Genomic DNA, 14719 nt, shown 5'->3' on the forward strand with positions numbered 1-14719 from the left:
TCCTACAGAAAAGTTTTGCTCCTACTAATTCTGTTTCTAGAAAGTACATCAATACTTTATTCCAAATCAGACACTCTCCATAATATACTAATAGCATTCATTTAGACCTTAAACCCAAATCTAACCAAGAATTTTGCACAGCATCATCTGGAAATAACAGTTTCTCATCTAACTAGATGTGTTTGTAATTAGACAGCCCAGATATACATAGCATTAAATGATAAGGAGAGTAGAGAGGAGACTTCAGATTTAAGTGTGTTGTTTCATTCAGAATTCTTGATATGTTGCTAATAATTTAAATGTGCTTCACATGCATGGAATGACATTAAGTCTATCACTCTATCATCACCAAATATAAATGATCAAATGGTGATGATTTATCTACTACTGCTAATCTTTTATTCCATGTATCATTTATTTTAAAGGTTTTTAAAATATAAAGTAACAAATATTCTTGCATAAAGCTCACAGTGACATCATAGAAAAAAGTTGGCAAGGAGATATTTAATACACCTCAGTATGGTATTTGTATTGATGAGTACCCACTTTGAGTCCAGAATATCTGCTCTTATATCCTAACCTCACTGGTTGGATTAAATTTCAGACATACAGCTCTGTCAGCCTTCATAGTCACAATAGAAGTATTCGTATTTAAAATTCAAGAAATTTCTGGCAACCAATATGAACAGATTGCTAATTTTTTTTACCCCCAAGGAATTTGCATTATTCATATGTTATGTTAAAAAGTATGATTTTCAGTCATCTATTTTCTGTTCTCATTTGCTAGTGTTAATAGATACAATGTTATTTGTTTATTTTGTGAGTTTATTTCCAACAAGGAACAGCTTTCTCACATTTCTCCATTAAATAGGAATAGCAGAACATACAGTCATATTTCATACTGTGATAGGCAACTTTAATGGTCATCTGCTTTATCTGATCAACATGGTCTGGCACATGTATCTGCCCTGAATAATGTGCTATAACTAACAGAGAAAGATCTAATCCCCAAACCCACTTCACTGGGTGATGAACAGTTTCCCCTTCTCCAATATTGTGCTTTAATCTGACACCTGGGAACTTCATCAATTTTTTCCAAAGCCATACCATTTTTTTTCTTACTTTCCAGAAGATAGTAAATAGGGTTGTGAAATTAGTATTGCTCCAGGTCCCCATATTTTGTTACTCACCAACAATGTGTCTTCAGGCAATTCACTTACTTAGTCTCTCTGAGCCCAGATCTTCATACCTGGACTGTGTATGATGATATCTGCTGTATGAATTGATGGTGAAGTCTAAAAAGAAAATATATGAAAGTAATTTATAAAATGCTAAGTGACATATATATATATATATATATATATATATGCAATTCAAGTAGGTAAAAAATATTGTATGAGTATGTCACTTATCTAGAGAGATCTTTAAGATTCTATCTTGGAACACAACAGGAACTGGGAGAATATCCCTTGCCTACGGCCAGCAAATTCGAGAACATCGAAACTCATGCATTCTGGTCATAAGAACCTGTGCACAAACCTGGGGTGGCTGAGGAGCATGAAAAATGAATTACAAAGTCAATCTGTATGAATCAAAATAGAAAGGAAAGTGGACATATGAACTAGTGGTAATTCATGTAGGAAAACAGAAAATGGGTTGAGAAAATAAAGCCAAAATTTTTAAAATTGTGAAATGAGAACTGGGAGAAATTAATTTCCAGGAGAACAGACAGTTGTAAAATTGCTAGTACTGTGTCAGCAATGTAGAACAACAGATGTTTTAAATTCCTGGGCTTCTGTTTTGAAAGCTGGTGGTACTTGCTACTTAAGTGGCACTATGGCCTTGAGATGGCGTTCATAAGCAGCCTTTTCTGAAGCATCTCAGATGCTGACCCTATGAGCTTGAGCAATCAGTCACACTCTGTACCAAATGGTGGCCTTTGAATATTGTGTTCTGGCATGTGCTCTCCTTTCCTCCCTGCTCCATTCCTTCCTCACTCTTGCCCCCTGGGACTGCATGCACTAAAAATGTAGCAGCAGATTTAAAAAATGTAACCATATGATTTCACTGGGGAACCTTACCTAAGAGAGTGAATATGAGGGAAAGGATAGGGTTCTTCCAGGACAAGGGCTGGGGTAGGTCCAGCCTGCCAATATTGAGAAGTTAAGGAGTAAGTGAGGGCAGGTGAGGCGAGGCTCTTGGTTCACCTGACTTACTGCAGAATTAGGCTGCCAGGGGAGTGTTGAATACTATAAAATATCTCTTTCTTGCCCCTACATACTTTCCCCTCTCATTGATTAGAATAAGGAGTTTGATAAGAATCTATTGCAAATTTATCCTTCCAACAATACCCAAGCAGTACTAGCATCAGCGATTCTTCTGAAAAAGTGCTTCAGATTTTTATTTCAACCGCATTTGGCAGGATGAGTTTGGGGACACATCTAGAAAAGGTAGTTTGAAAAATGTCAAATCTATTATCTCTTCCAGTTCTGTAATCTAAAAGTAGTACTTTAAATACCTAAGTGACTTGAAAACCTATTAGCATGAAGGAGAGAAATTAGCTTATTGGCTCCAAAATTGGAGCAAAGCTCAGTATGGAAAATCTCTGCTATCTTCCTTTTTTTTTTTTTTTCTGTTTTTTTGTTTCCTGAGTGCTAAAGTTGTCATTACTAGAGAATTGTATGCCCATTTTTGAAAGAGCAAATTTCCACAATGATTTAAGTGATAAGGAATAACCACTATGAAGTGGTAACTTCATAATAGTCCCCAAATCGCGTACATGGAATGGAGTAGTCTACTAATCTATTTAATTGCCACACCTTTCCTTTTTAAATTTTTTTCTCTCATTATCAAGGAAATTTATAGACAGGCTTGAATCTAAAAGTGTTTTAGCTTTAAACCTGTTGAACTTACCTATGCCCAATCAACAAATTCTAAGCTACCCACACATAAAGAGGAGAAACACGGCAGAAATGGTCATATATCCCATTTTCCAAGGTGCTTATGAATGTTGAACATTTCTGTCATTCTGCTCTAAAAGTGAGACCAGATGTCCCTGAAAAGTTCTGTCCAATAATTTTCAGTGGGATAAAAAGCTTTACCCACATCCTTATTGCTTTTTTGCTTGTCAAGTGAGAAGTACTGAAAATCCAGGGTGGGTGAAAAAGTAAGTGCACATATCTTTTGTGCAGTTACCAATTCTCTCTCCCTCACTTTCCTCAAGACAGTAGCTTGTCAGCAACCCTCTTACCCTCAACCACTTTCTTAGGTCTGGTAAAAACAGCTGTTGGGATGACATGTAGCATTTCGTTTCTGCTCATTTCAAATTTTATTCTGTCTTCGTTTGTTAATTTGATCACATTACTGAGACTTCGGCACAGACTCTTTCACAGTTCCCATTATCTGTCCGTGGTGCTAATAACATATGGTAATATTTTTCTAATTATGCTCCCTGCAAAATACCAAAAGCTGTAATCCTCATCTGGTCACTATGTGCAATGCAACCTATCCACACTTTTTTCTAACATACAAAAACACTTAATATAGGTATAGACTTAACATGCAGTGTGTCTCCACAGACACATGAGTAACTCTGCCTGATACTGTACTGTTACTCTCTCTGTATTACTCTTTTTCACCTGTTTGAAATTGTTTATTTTGGCCAGGCGCGGTGGCTCACGCTTGTAATCCCAACACTTTGGGAGGCCGAGGCGGGCAGATCACAAGGTCAGGAGATCGAGACCATCCTGGCTAACACGGTGAAACCCCATCTCTACTAAAAATACAAAAAATTAGTCGGGCGTGGTGGCGGGTGCCTGCAGTCCCAGCTACTCGGGAGGCTGAGGCAGGAGAATGGTGTGAACCCGGGAGGCGGAGCTTACAGTGAGCCGAGATTGCGCCACTGCACTCCAGCCTGGGTGACAGAGCGAGACTCCGTCTCAAAAAAAAAAAAAAAAACAAAACAAAAAAAAACAAAAAAAAATTGTTTATTTTTCCTATGCCTTGGTTTTCAACTATGTTGGGATCTTGTTCTGTTCAATAAAATAAGATTTGATTATATCCAGATATAGTATAATTTCTACTATTTTATGGTACATCTTGAACTGACAGACTCGAGAAACTTTATTATCTGTGCCAAAACAGTAAATTCTGCAACTATACCTCATTCCCCCCATTTACTCTAGTGTCTTTTAATACTAACTTAGAGATTTTACTTTATCAGGCTGTGGTTATCTCATCTTTTTTATTCACACTCAGCTCTAGTTTTGTTGCATTTACTCAAGCACGTCAAATATTTCTTTGTGTTAAAATAAATGATATAAAGTAGGAAGACAGGGAGCCCCCCACAAGTATCATAATCACCTATGAACAATAGTCTCAATATAGCTGGTAGGATCCTTCCACATCTCTGATAGGTGCCAGATGGTATTTCTATAGATCAACATAAACTACAACTGACCCTTGAACAACAACATGGGTTTGAACAGCACAGGTCCACTTATGCATGATAAAAGTTATGTTGAGTATGCCTGTCTCTGCTGCTTCTCCTTCTACCTTCTTCACCTCTGCCAGCCCTGAGATAGCAAAACCAACCGCTCTTCTTCCTCCTCCTCACCCTACTTAATGTGAGGTGATGAGGGTGAAGATCTATATGAAGATCCCACCTCCACTTAAAGAATAGTAAATATATTTTCTCTTCCTTATGGTTTTCTTAATAACAATTTGTTTTTTCTAGCTTACTTAATTGTAAGAATACAATATATGATGCATATAACACAAAAATACATGTTTTACAACTGTTTATGTTGTCAGTAAGGTTTCTGGTCAATAGCAGGTTATTAGTAGTAAAGCTTTTAGGGAGTCAAAATTTATACACAGATTTTTGACTACAAGGTTGGCGCCTCTAACCCCTGCATTGTTCAAGGGTCAACTGTAGTTGGACATCAGAAAGTGAGTATGAAGGGATTATCCTTTTATGTTTTTTAAACCTTCTTGGTAACTGGGCATATGGATCAAATAATTTGTGTATATAAATGTATATATATATACACACACACATATATACACATACATATATATATATGTTTTACATTTAGCTTTGTTAATCACTCTCTTGGCTTTATTTCAGCAGAGCTCAAACATAGCTCAATATAGTGTAAAAGATCATTCTTTCTGACTTTGTAATAAAATCTCTGTCCTGCAGTTATTCGTAAAACAAGAAATTAAGATTTTTCAAAATAAATAGAAATAAAGGAGATTAAATGTAACAGATATCAATTGTGTAGAGACAAAGAAAGTGTATGAATGGATCATTGATCAGCGACAAGATGAGAAAGAACATCCAGAACGTACTTAGAGGGCACAGAAAACACACACACACACACACACACACACACACACATTTTAAGCCACTGCAAGATACTATTGGTTAAAGAGGCTATCGGATCTCATTAATATAATGCACCAATGAGGTTAGTGAACAAAAAATATGTACTAAGGATATTTTTTCTGTGAAGATTGATACATTTATTTTCATGGTGTAATAAAATATTACAGTTTTTGTTTTTAGTTATGCTAAAGAATAAATTCATTTCAGTTAGGTGCTATTGTCTGGTTTCAGTTCCTTAATTCATAAGCTGTATACTACTCTAGAAAAGCTATACAAACTTTATGACCATTAGTTTTTTCCTCTATAAAATGAGGAGTTTAGGGCTAAATCTATTATAGCTAAGATTCTCCCCAGCTTTTTTAAAATAAAGTTTTTATTTTAATATAGTTTCAACTTACAGAAAAATTGTCAAGATAGTACAGACAAATCTTACATATCTCACACCCATTTCCCCTATTATTAACATCTTACATTGAGATGGCACATTTGTCACAATTAATGAACCAATACTGATACATTATGTTTAGCTGAAGTCTGTACTTTATTCAGATTTTCTAACTGTATGCCTAATATCTTTGCGTGCTCCCAGATCCCATCCAAGATACCACCACATTGCCTTGGTTGTCATGTCTCCTTAGACTCCTCTTGACTGTGAGTTTCTCAAACTTTCATTGTTTTTGATGACCTCGTTAGTTTTGAGGAGTACTGCTCGGTCATTTTGTGGAACAATTCTCAACTCATACGCCTATGTTTTAAAAATAATCCTATATAGGCTTTCTTTGTAAAATAATGCTTGGCACATGGCAAGTAATTACTAGCACATGAATGAATGAAAAACTAGATATTTCATTTATTTGAAGGAACTAATATATTCATAACAGGCATAAAGTATTTCTTTGGTCTGGATGGTCAATACCCATATTGACACTATGTTATTCCAGTGTTACAAAAATAAAACTGAAATATTTGTTTTTTTTCTTTCCCAGTCAAATTGAGCAACATCTTAGAAAGAGACTAATTTAGGATTTTAAAGAGAAAAACTATCATTCGGAGGTATCTCATGGTAATAGAAATGGAAATATGGGAAAATAAAGGGATTCTAAAAAATACTGAGTGATTTCCAAAACATTGCATTCATATCATCCTATTTGTCCACACAATCAGTGGAAGGAATGCAAATATGGATAAGGGAAAAGTAAAAAATATATATATAGTGTGTGTATATATATATATATATATATATATATATATATACACACAAAAAAAAGACAGAGGATACAGTACTCCATTGGAATCAGAAAAGAAATGAAATTAGATTATTCTGCCTATAGGGCAACAATGTGTTGGTAATGGAGTTATGCTAAACATAACCTTTCCCTAACCTTTATTCAAGGTAGTAGCTGAAAATTCTCTTTTCACACATAATTTCATCATGCAATTACCTCAGAGGAAAAAGGATAACAAATACAACCTTGACAATGAAATTTTTTGAAGCAGCCTTTTCTCTTTCTAAAAATCTAGGTCCAGTAGATATAATTTTAGATTAAATACAATGCTAAATTCTCTGACAAGAAAATGGACAATTGCTATGCAGGTTAACAATATATTGATTCATTTACTTTTCCCAATTCAAAAACGTGATAGCTCTTTACAGAGCATTTGGTTGCAATCACTATTATTTCAATTATGAGCTTAGCTGGGTAATAAAACAATAGGCTTTTCCTCAGTAGACTACTATTCAGTTTGTGTAATTTAAGTATTAAGTTTAAAGGAAAAAGGAATTTGCTCTTTTTTCAGTTCTTTCAGGCTGCTATATTTTACCATAATACAACAAACTAATAATTATCAATCCTTAAATGCCTTTCGTTGCAAATTAGTTTTAGGAAAGCAATTTAAAACTTTCTTCATTTTTCTCAGTAGACCACAAGATAATATTCTTTTAATTGCAGGGATTAGAATGCCTGATACTTTCCATTTTTAGTACAACATATTGACTTTTGCAGTAATTATTCCATTTTGTACTTTTCTAGAGATATTTACTTCATTGCTACTCTATTTCAGATAAACTAAGGAGCACAGATTCTTATTCATCCAACAAAAATTATTGAGAGTTCTCGTTGTGCCATGATTAAAAGTGCTTATAAGAGATACAAAGAGGTGAAAGGTCTGTTTTCTAACCCCTCAATTGGACTCTCAGAGGCTAATACAGCAGAAGAGATAATCTGCACCATTATAGCAGAGTACCTCTTGCTTTATCTACATATGTGGCTTTTCTCTGAGTGCATGCAGCTAATGCTACTTAATACCCGAGGGAAAGAAAAACAGAATGAAAAATCTATATTAATTCTTAATACGAGTAAACTCAGCTGGCTCAATTATAATTCACTAATTATTTTGAACAAATATAAAATAACAGGAAATGCAATAAAAGTAAAGCATAAAGGAATAATTTGGACCTGAAGATGTTGATTTTCTGGGGAAACTAAATTTTTACCTATTAAACAATATGAAAAAGAGACTAATAATTCAATTAGGATCCAAGAAAATGGGTAAATTCTTATGATCCCAGGTTTGTGAGGAGAGTTTTCCTAGAGGCAATGATATGAACTAAGTGGTTTTATAATTGGAAATAATTATGATCAAAATGCAGAAATGTCTTCTCCTCTTCATAAGTGAGCTTTTAGGAAAACAGGTTTTGTAATTCAGTAATGCAGTAGGAAGGTACCCCAGGTCAGAGCTATGCCAAAATACAGCTTATGATTAAAGAAAATCTGAGAATTGAAAGAAGTGCTTTGGATCAAGAAAGAGTAAGTGGAAATAGCAAGCATCCAAATATAAACAAGGAGAAGTTTTAAAGTTAATAGTTTGAGGTTGACGTGAGCATAAGTGTAGCGTTCTAACTGAGATCATAAATGGGGGTAGGAGTGAGTGAGGTAGAAGAGTCTTTAGAAGATGGGAAAGTAGAGGAATCATTAACAATGATGTGTCCAAAAAGAGCATTTTGTTATTAAGAATTCACAGGGAAGGTTGCATGCTCACTCACACACAAATAGTTTAATCACTTAAGCTGATAAATAAAACAATTAGCATAAGATTAATTTTGACACTGTGTCAACCACTGGTCTTTAACCACTGAAAAATCTAACATGTAAGTGACAAAATGAGATTAGCACCTTTATTCTTGCTAAATATCCGTGGTCCATGATGATTCAAAATGGCAGCAACTTATAATGTCATGCAACTCTGATCTCTAGAAAGCTTTGGGATGCTAATTGTAAGGCCAAAACTGATTTTCTTTCTCATTGGAAGGAAGTTTTTACATAGTGAAAAGTAGATACAACACGATAAATAGAATACGAAACCAAAATCAAGGGATTAAGCACGAGAGGAAAGCAAATCTGATATAATAAGGAACACAATCTGAGATTTGCTTTTATAGGAAAAGCTCAGCAGCTCAGAACTCTCCAGAAAGCAAAGTAACCATAAGACTCAAAAAGCCCTGATTTGTTGCTTACTGTCATATGTCCTTGAGGAAGTTATTTATCTCTGTGAGTCTCAGGTTCTTTATATATTAAAGGAGATTAAGATAACAGATCATTTCATTTGAGAATAAAACAGGAAAAATATACAAGAAAGTGCTTTACACTGATGTCCAAGCATTTGATAAACATTTAATAAATGAATGTGCTCTTCACTGTTTATTCATATTTTCCACATGTTTAAGGTATTACACTGTATTTGCCAAAGCAATTTTTTGCATATTTGGGGAAAAAATATGTCTTAACAAGTTTGTGTGTTTTCCTTCCTTCTTATGCAGCTTCTTGTGACTGTCTTTTAAGCTTTCCAATAACTGCACCTTAAATATCAATGTACTTTTTCTATAAAACAATTGTGTGTGTGTATTCCTTCACTAAATGGCCCCAAGTTCCTATGCTTTTGGTTTCTTTAAATGAGTTTAAATTCATTTTTATTAATTAAGATGATAGTTTGTTTCAAGTGAGATATACCTTGAATAGTATTTACACTTCTAATTGTTCTTATTTCCCAATTAAAATATATTTCCCAATATATCCCTCAAGAAAAGAATGCTTAGTGCATTTTGAACAAAACTCTCCATCCTCCAGACTATGGGTCCTCAGAAAAATGTTAATATAAAACCTACTGACTTTTTAAAGAAGCTGACTACATCCATACTATTGTGATCTGATTTTGTCTATAAAGCTTAAGTAAGAGCATTAATATTCACTCTCAAATATAACCATTTATAATTAATATCATGATAAAATTCATATTCAAATAATATTCGTAGTAATTTCTACTTAAATCCAAGGACTTACATTGCGAAGCAGAGAGACAGAATGTTGGTAGCTTGGCTGATATGAATAGTCACTATGAACACAAAATACTCCTTTTACAACTACATATGTTAGGTGTTAAGTCAGGAACACAATTAAAGAGTCATGATATAATTGCTTGGAGTCATTGCTGGAAAGAACATATTCAACATTCTCACTAAAAATAATGAATGTAATGCTTAAACTTCCTGGTAAGGCTGATTTAACTTTTATAATCAGGAAGAAAGAGAGACTCTTTTTAGTTTAGCTAGAGTTCAAAATAAAAAGACTTCATTACTGCTCAGGCAGCTGCCTAAAATGACATTTATCTGACATTTTCACCCATATATAAAGGCATCTTATGAAATAATTTTTTTAAGTAGTGAAGTTAAAGTGGTAATTATATCAGCAAAATTCTTCAAGATTACTGTTTTCTTTGAAAAATGTCACTCGGGTTATCATATATTAGATGTGAACTGTATTCTGATATTTGGTAATGTATATACCCAAATTAGCTCTCATTTTGTATCACTGAAAATACAATACCAAACAGAAAATTATTTTCGAATATCTTAGTTTTGATTTAAAAATTCTGTTAAAAAAATAGTAAATATTCAGATATTATTAGTCCATTACTTAAGACATTCCACCTGGGTGACCTGATTGTTCATAGCATAAATTATATGAGGAAAACTAAAATATAAAACCAAATGAAATCTTTCCAGTTACTTTTATAAAACTAGTATAGCCATAAATTGAAGCATGATTTAGATATTTCAGAAGAAAAGTACAGTTCATTCTCACATACCAAAGAAATAAAAAAAAAAATGCAAATCAAATTTAGCTATCTATCAAGTTAATAAGAAAATAAGCATGAGAAAAGATATTATAATAGTGAATATATATTTAAAATTAGGGTACAAATTAATATAATATTTCAAATGAAAGGATCAAAGGAGGAAAATAATAGATTATCTTTAGAGATATGAAGAATGCAAGGTCACAAATCTGGTATGGCTAGAGCCAGGATTGTAAGCAGTTTATTAAGGATTTGTTCAATGCTTTTTAAAAATGTTAGCACAATTAAGAAAGGCATGAATACTTGTGAATATTTAGAGACTCACTTAAATTAACTGAGTGAAATTGCTTACAATTTGAGGTTTCTAAGTCATCTAATTAGTCTTGGTAAGAAGCTTGTTAGTTACAATGTTTTAAAAACCAAAGGAAACCCATAGTGTAAAAGGTGACGCCTGCAAGACACATAAGTGACCTCTAAGGCCTGAATAAACTTCCCTGTGATTGATTTTTCTTCTGCAGTGTTTAAAAATGAAGATAGTCAAATAGATGAAGCGCTTACCCATTTTTGAAAACAACATACAGAACAAAACTAGAAAAAAACTTAACTCTCAAATGAAATGCGACTGGTCAACCATTTGCAACTGAAAACAAAAAGAACGCAAAACACATTAAAGGTCCACCTATCATTTAGTTGTATCTATGTATGTGTTTATTTGTTTATTTTTATTTTTAAAAAGCAGATTAGAAGTGGATAGTTGTCCAAATGAGTTGGAATTTTTTATTTACTAATACACCATCAGATCTAGCCAAAAGGAATTTAGGCAACTTTTTTGAAGTCGAGAGTTAAAGGAGTTCATTTGGTACGAATTCACACTGACCTCATTAAAAAATGCATTTTAAATAATAAATAAATAAATAAAACAAATTAAACTCAATGAGAGACTCAGGTTATCTTTGCCAGCAATCAATTATTGCTTGAGGAAATAGCATTAATAAATCCTAGATTTCTTTCTTTGAAAGTAATACTTGAGCACTGCTTTCCTGCTAAAACAGCATCTTTCAGCAGATTTTTATAGAAAAACCATACCCTCAAGAAAGCTGAACTAGAATGCTTTGTTTATTTCTAATTTTTTATTTTTCTGTGACCTATCAAAAGATGACATTGTTAAAATTAGCTTTGGCTAATGTAAGTTACAATACAAATGAGACTTTAGTCCAATGATTTTTAAATCTTTTTAAATAAGGTTTATTCACCTTCTCTTATGACCAAGTGGAAAAAACAAGATGTAATAACAAAGAATTGGGAAGTACCAGACATAAAACATTTATTGATCATTTCATAAGAAATTACATGACTTATGACTAAAAAACACAACAGATATTTTAATTTTACCAATTTTGATAGAACATGCAAAGCAATTTAAATACTTTTTTTTTTTTAATGTAGGCCCCATAAGAAAGGATCTGTAAGTAAATTTTGGGAAATCAAGTTTATATCTGTTTTAGCAAGAGTGATATAATCACTTATATTTAAAGAGTGGCATACGTGATGCACATATGTTAAAATTCAGTTACTGAGCAATTATTGGCCAAAACTTTAAACATATACATCTCTAAACATTGAAAAGTTAACCCAAATGCAGGTAAAATATTCTCCCAGGAAAAAAAGAAGGTAAGAGGCTCAGTCTAATCTCCTTGTAATATGCTAGTGATAGACCTTCTAGAATTAAAAAACTAAAAACAAACAAAAAAAAACCCAACAGTATCAAGTGGAAATTTATCTATGGAATGTTTCTAGCGTAACATATCTGGGTTGTTTAGGATTGCTTGTGTTAAAACAATCTAAATCTCTGAATTTATGAGGTATGGTTCTCTGGAAAATGCCCCATACTCCAAGCCGCCATTAGAGGATAAAATGAAGGTGTTCATGATGTAAGTAGCTCATTTCATCTATGCGATAAGGCTACACTTCTCATTTATAAACTTTATCTCTTAACTGGGGGGCCAGAACAAGTCATGAAAGAAGCAGAAGAGCTGATGAGGTAGGTTGGAATTCCAGAATGGCTCCATTGCTCTTATTTATTCCTCAAAATTATCCCAAACTTTGAAATTGTTAGCGAAAGTTTAAAATGACTAAGATCTCTCACGTGACTGACTGGACAAACTGATTCTTTGTGTTATGTTAAATGTTTACAAAGTTGCTAAATATTGTACAGCAATCAGCCTTTTCTATAGGCTACAGAGTTTTAAAAAGCAATTTACAAACACCACAGTATAGAAACAAAAAAATTTCATTTGGTAGATTACTAGAAATTAACACAGGCATAAAAAAGATTGTGTGGCATCAACCCTTGAGAGCTGAAGAAAGGATTTGCCTTTTTAAACTCTTTGCTGAGGATAACCTTTACAGCTTGTGCCTGCTGATGGGCCTCAGCAGATCACGCTTTGAAAATAAATTTTATAGTTCATTTTGAGACTCACATATTTAAATAATTTCAGAAAATTATTATTATAATTTGGGAACAAAATTAATATGACTCAAATTCTGAACTGAGTAAGATTTAAGTATCTTACCACAAATATATGAGACAACGGAGAATTAGATTTTTGACTGAGTATGTGACAATAAGTAGAACTACCCCAAAATGACTGATATCGCCAGAATAAATCAGAGAAAACCTTAATTACAGGATTTGGAAGTCATGGAAATGAATCAGACCATGATTTTATTGGCTTCATAAGATTTTATAATTAATTTTTAATCCGTTTAGTCTGTTTAGTTTAGTTTAAAACTATAACACCTGTATGTTACTTTATTTTTGTTATTGTCCCAAAATTGGTTTATTTGATTTTAAGGATACGGTTTTTTCTCTATTTTTATTGGAATTTTAAAAATGTGCTATTTTTCCTCTGTGCTCACAAAAAACTCTGTATACTTCTCTGTCTCATCAGTTGTCACCCTAAGTTTTAAGTTACTTGCCAGTATACAGGAGATATGAATCAACGTCTAACACCTAGCACTAAAGCCAGGGAAATAGCTCACAATAAGAACTGCTATGGTTTGAATATTTGTTCCCTCCAAAATTCATGTTGATTCCCAATGTAATCCCCAATGTGCTGGTATTGAGAGGTGCTATTAATCACCTTTAAGAGGTGATCAGGTCACGAGGGCAGAGCCTGGATTAATCCATTCAGGGATTAAGGGATTCATGGGCTAATGGATTAATGGATTATCGTGGGAGTGGGGCAGGTAGCTTTATAAGAAGAGGAAGAGATATCCAAGCTAGGATGCTCGGCCCCCTCACTATGTGATGTGCTGTGCCATTTCAGAGCTCTTCAGAGAGTCTCCACCAGCAAGAAGACACTCAACAGATATGGCTTCTCAGCTTTCTCAGCTTCTAGAACTTAAGAAATAAATTCATTTTCTTATAAATTTCCCAGCTTCAGAAATTCTGTTACAAGCAACAGAAAACACTAACACAGCACTCAAACAACAAAGGTAGTGATCCTAATAATTCAACCACACAAACACACACAATGTTAATATCACACTTGTCAGAAGAAATCGTAAAAGTATGATATTCACCTCAAATGTTTCTTTCAAATTACAAATAAATGTCCCTGGTTGACTGAATTTAAAAAACAAATGGAACTCTAGCTGCACGGAAGTCTGCGATGTTATTATCTTATAAAATATTGTATATAACAAATGTAAGTGATGTTATTATTTTTACCTTTTCTGTACAGGAAGACACACTTGAAAGAGTCCCTAATGACACTGAGCAACAATTCCCCATGTTTGTTACACTGGAAGTTGTTCTATCTACCTTATGCGCCTGTCTTTAATTCCTGGCATCTCACAAGTCTGAAAGACAGTTATTATCATTTATACAGGAAGAAACTAGGGCTCCTATAGGGGAAATGACTTGTTAATATCATAAGACTAGCAAAGCTTACTTACTCAATTCCTAATGCTCTTCAGAGCATATTATATCTGAACTCTATATTAAATTTGTGGTTGTTGTTTCTAAATTAGTCCTGAATTAAACTGTTTTTTATATTGTGGCAGACTAGTAGGGTCATTTGTAAAATTGTAGTTTTTATAATGAGCACAGTCATCAATTAGTATGTGAAATAAATATACTCATATTTTTATAGGGAGAGGGAGGTAGGGAGAAAGCAGTAACAAACACATGAG

The 14719-nt window shown here is 33.4% G+C and overlaps 1 long non-coding RNA gene across 2 annotated transcripts in view; it reads right to left on the reverse strand.

Moving 5' to 3' along the window:
- The window catches only part of LINC01853 (long intergenic non-protein coding RNA 1853), a 38124-nt gene that overhangs the window by 6919 nt on the left and 16486 nt on the right, over nucleotides 1–14719 (reverse strand). For both annotated transcript variants that reach the window (NR_183815.1, NR_183816.1), the window contains exon 4: nucleotides 1191–1295. This is a non-coding gene — a long non-coding RNA (long intergenic non-protein coding RNA 1853). The remainder of the gene's footprint in view (nucleotides 1–1190; nucleotides 1296–14719) is intronic.

The sequence above is a fragment of the Homo sapiens genome, chromosome 2 (genome assembly GCF_000001405.40).
Source record: "Homo sapiens chromosome 2, GRCh38.p14 Primary Assembly".
Taxonomy (NCBI): Eukaryota; Metazoa; Chordata; class Mammalia; order Primates; family Hominidae; genus Homo; species Homo sapiens.